This window comes from Homo sapiens, chromosome 3 (assembly GCF_000001405.40).
Source record: "Homo sapiens chromosome 3, GRCh38.p14 Primary Assembly".
Taxonomy (NCBI): Eukaryota; Metazoa; Chordata; class Mammalia; order Primates; family Hominidae; genus Homo; species Homo sapiens.
The window spans coordinates 51,815,621-51,820,144 of NC_000003.12; the positions used below are offsets into that span (position 1 = coordinate 51,815,621).

General features: G+C 47.0%; 1 pseudogene across 3 annotated transcripts; it reads left to right on the plus strand.

Moving 5' to 3' along the window:
- Nucleotides 1-1,982: 1,982 nt before the first annotated feature.
- Nucleotides 1,983-4,015, plus strand: IQCF4P (IQ motif containing F4, pseudogene; annotated as a pseudogene). Of its 3 annotated transcripts, NR_038213.1 has the most exons (4): nt 1,983-2,142; nt 2,350-2,451; nt 2,589-2,851; nt 3,574-4,015. The product of NR_038213.1 is annotated as an IQ motif containing F4, pseudogene, transcript variant 1 (transcript). The 3 variants fall into 3 exon arrangements; NR_038214.1 differs by lacking the exon at nt 2,589-2,851; NR_038215.1 differs by lacking the exon at nt 3,574-4,015 and having other exon boundaries at nt 2,589-2,719.
- The last annotated feature ends 509 nt before the right edge of the window (nt 4,016-4,524 follow it).

Consider the following 4,524-nt stretch of genomic DNA (forward strand, 5'->3'; position numbering starts at 1 on the left):
CTCATCCTAAACATTTCAAATGTACTCTAGTGACCCCTGGGCAGAAACTCTGAGGGGGACCAGGGTCTGATGCTGACCCCTCAGGCCGTGGCCAGAGGACCTTCTGCTGAGCATTGACCTGCAGCACCAGGTGGCTTTTCAGTGGTCGGGATCAGGCAGAGATGGTGCCGGCTTCTGCAGTGGCTGTGCTGACTCATCTTCTGACTGCGACAGGAGAGCAGTCAAAGACATTTGTACCCCAGCTGGGGCCTCAGAGGTACCCTCAGTGTGTGTCCTGCTCTCCCAGGAGGCTGATAACTGGGTGCCCTGCAGACAGGACAGACACAGGGAGTTCAGCCACAGTGAGGGTGTGTGCCCTGTCCCTCCAATTCTACTAGCCTCATCAAAGATAATCATTGATAAATTTTAGTTGTGTATGTCGTCCTAATTCCCTTGTTTTCATAGTACTTTTATGATATGCTCATAATTATTTGTCCATCAACTCAATTTGTTTCACTTGTACTCCATATCAGTACAGAGAGAACAAAGTTCTTTTCTGTGGTTTCATTAAGTGCTTGGTTTGATGAATTTTCACAATTCCGTATTCCTTGGTAACCACCACCAAAACCAAGATATAGCACATTCCTCTTTGTTTCCATGTGCTGTTTGCAGGCAAAACCCCTATATCTAGGAATTCATCTGATTCATTTTCTATTGTTCTTCATTTTACCTGTTAGTTTTACCTGTTTTAGAATTTTATATAAATGGAAGAACCTGTAGGCCGGGCGCGGTGGCTCACACTTGTAATCCCAGCACTTTGGGAGGCCGAGGCGGGCGGATCACGAGGTCAGGAGATCGAGGCCAACCTGGCTAACGTGGTGAAACCCCGTCTCTACTAAAAAATACAAAAAATTAGCCGGGCGTGGTGGCAGGCACCTGTAGTCCCAGCTACTCGGGCAGCTGAGGCAAGAGAATGGTGTGAACCCGGGAGGCGGAGCTTGCAGGGAGCTGAGATAGCGCCATTGCGCTCCTGCCTGGGTGACTGAGCGAGACTCCGTCTCAAAAAAAAAAAAAAAAAAAAAAGAACCTGTAGGTAGTCTAGCTTTTTTCATTTAGCATCAAGTTTCTGAGAGTCATCTATGTTATTCTGTGTATGAATATATTCATTTTTGTTACTATTACTCCATTATACTAATATGTCACGAATTTTTGTCTAGTCACCTGTTGGTGGACATTTGGGTTGTTTCCTGTTCTGACCTATTTGAATAAAGCTGCTATGAATATCCATGCACATGTCTTTGTAAAATGTGTTTTCATTTTTCATTTGCAAATTTTAGGACTGAAACTATTGAGTTACAGGGCGGGTGCATGTTGAACTTCATTAGGAAGTGCCAAACCATTTTCCAAAGTGATTCTGCTGTTTCACACCTTTTTATCAGCAGTGTATAAGAGATCTACCCATTCTGAATCCCTGCCAGGATTTAGTACTGTCAGATTTCTCATGTTAGCCATTCTCTTAGGGTGTCTAGGGGTATCTCATTTTGGTTCTCATTTTTATTTCCCTCATGACTATTGATATTGGGCATCTTTTCATGTGCTTCTTAGCTATTCCTAAATCTCCTTTTCTGAAGCATCTGTTTGAGAATTTTGCTGCTAATTCATTCTTTCTCATCCTTATATGGCTCAATTGTTTCATTGAACTGAAATCCATGTGACTGAATTTTGTATTTGATGGAGGTTTAGGTTGTCTCAATTTTTGTTTTTATCAACTAGATTGAAAGCATTAACTATATACCTCTTTGTGCTAATTAGCCAGTATTTCCAGTGGCTTGCTTTTGTAGTCAAATTGTGGCCATGTCTGCAAAAAAGAATGGACAAGAGTTCCACATATTCGCTGGAAAAGACTCAGCTGTTGGAAGCCATTCTGATGCCAGAGTCATAGGTGCCCTTATGACATCATCACACTCTCTCTTCCTTCACACTTCCTGCCACAGTGGTGGCTAGAGAAGTACAGACCTGAGTATAATGGAGACCTCTAGCCTCTAATCATGGGCACTAAAGGGGATTGCAGACTTGAAGGGATTGAACCAACTACTGCAAGTCATGGGCATTCAATGTTTTGTAAGAGACAACCAGTCAATTCAAAGATGCAGGCAGGCGGAGGTGAATTCCCACAGTTAATCAGGATGCAAGCCCTGTGTCTGGGTCTCTGGGAAAGCCAAGAGGTTAAGGATGTGGTGAACTTGGCTGAAAACTGGGTATCCTGCAGGCAATACAGACACAGGGGATTCAGTCACAGTGAGGGAGAGTGCCTTGAGTTCTACAAATAACTACCTATCCATACCTCACCTCTTTAAAATCTGATTACAGAAGGATGGCCATGTTCGCCAAAGCATAATGGAAGATGTTGATGAAACCGCACTGTTGAAACAAATGGAGCGGGAGAAAATGCCTCCTCCTCCAAAGCCAAAGGTAAGTCAGAACAGGCCCTCAAGGTTGGAAGAGACCCCACACCTGCAACATCTCTGACCTGTGCCACCCAGTAGTGGTGGTTGTCTTCTCTGTGGCTCATAGAATTGGTTAATTATGGAATTTCTTGTCCAAACTAGGAAACGTTTGTGAGTGAAAGGTGTTGCTATTAATCCTTACTCAGGAACAACCACCATAAACCAAGAATATCCCAGGCCAACAAGGACATAGTCGTTGTATTCAAAGCTGCAATAAATAGAGATTGACTCATCCTGGGCTATCTTCTTCTCCCATTTCCTTATGAGTCTGGGAAAGGTGGGTGACTGAGGCATGGAGACTTGGATGTAGGAAAGAGAAACCCTGAAAAGTGGAAAGCAGACATGCAACATTGGAGCATGGCATGGTGAGGGCTCTGTTTGGGGAATGCATGGCCATAAAGGGAAACCCAAGTCTTGAATTGGGTGGGATGTGGGGGAGTGTGCACATGAGTCCACTTATGTGTAGGTAAGCTGAAGTTAAAAGAAGTTTTAACAAGAAAAAGTGTGTTAAAAGAAGTGAAAGTAAGAAGTAGGTGAAAAAGACTCCAAACTGTGTGGAGCAGGGAAACTTTGACTACTATGACGTGACAGCAGGAAAGAGCAGGCTGTGGATTTCACTTGGAGTTAGAAATAAGAGGGCATGGCCAGCAAAGGAGACACTTCTCTGGCAGGTGGGAGAGGTCTGAAGGGATGGGTCATGGGTCTCAGGAGATGGTCAGGCCTAGGTGAAATGTGTTAACACTTTGGCCCTACATCACAGTGTCCTTACTCTAGACTGGCCAACAAGGTTTGCAAAAACCTGGGCAAGGTAGCTAGGGCAGGTGTACCCCCATTTTGCAGATGGGAACATTGAGATTCAGAGGTGAAGGTGAGGTGGCCATGTCCATTGGCCTGTGGGTGGCAGAGGGGGTACAACCTGGTCTCCTGAGTTAGGTGTTGCCCTGCCCAGTGCTCCTGAACTTTACAGGAAAGGGCCATTGTAGAGTACCTGGCCACTTCCTCTCACCCACTGGGGCTGATGTTTGTGAGGAAAATGTCCTGACTTTTCTTTCTTTTCTTGCAACCTCTCCTCCTTTTCCAAATGAAGCCCCCCACTGACAAGGTACTGGCAGCAAAAAAGATCCAGTCCTGATGGTGGGGCACGCTGGTGCAATGCACACTACTGCACGTGACCCTCAGAGCTTTGATCATTCAGTGCTGGTGGAGGCAGGTGCTGGCAAGGCTGCAGGCGAAGAGGCAGCGGGCAGCACTGGAGCTCTGTGCACGGCAGCTATGGGCAGCAGTCAGGCTGCAGTCCTGGGTCCGCATGTGGCGTGTCCGCTGGCGTTACTGTCGTTTGCTCAACGCTGTCCGCATCATCCAGGTCTATTGGCGCTGGAGAAGTTGCCATACCCGTGGCTTTTTCCATGGCAGCTACGAGCTCACAACAAGCCAGCTGAGCCTTGAGCTTGACATCTTCCTGGGATCACATATTTGCCGAATTACAGACTGCATCCCCTTCCCAATAAAGAAGTGACAAGGTGCTCCAACTATGTGTCCCTAGTTCTCTATTAAGCAAACTCCGAGAGATCTTTGCCTCAGCAAAGGGTCAGGGAAATGAGGACAGGTACCTGGCATCTCACAGGTCAGCTCTGAGGAGTCAGCCGGCTTGTCTGGGGTCCTGTGGGGAGAAGGATGTGACAGCCCCATGCTGAAGGAGCAGGGCTTGTGAGAGATAGCAATGTCGGCCATGGGTGAGCGAGTTGGGGTTGCAGAGCCACCAAGAAGGCCAGCTCCGGGAAGACTGGTTCCCGCTGTGGTATGTGTAATGGCGCCCCCTGTGGCCATGCAGTATGGAGGCCTGTGCCATCCTTTGCTCTTAATCCTCCAGCGTCTTCCCTTAACACTTAGAGCAAGTTCAAAAGCTCTCCCTGGGTCTACATAACCCTGCATAGTCTGGTCCTGGCCATCTCATCCTCTTTATGTCCTCCCTGGCTGCTCTGCTATTTAGCAACTATCCCAAGCGTGTTCCATCTGAGAACTTTGCCCTGCTGCCTGC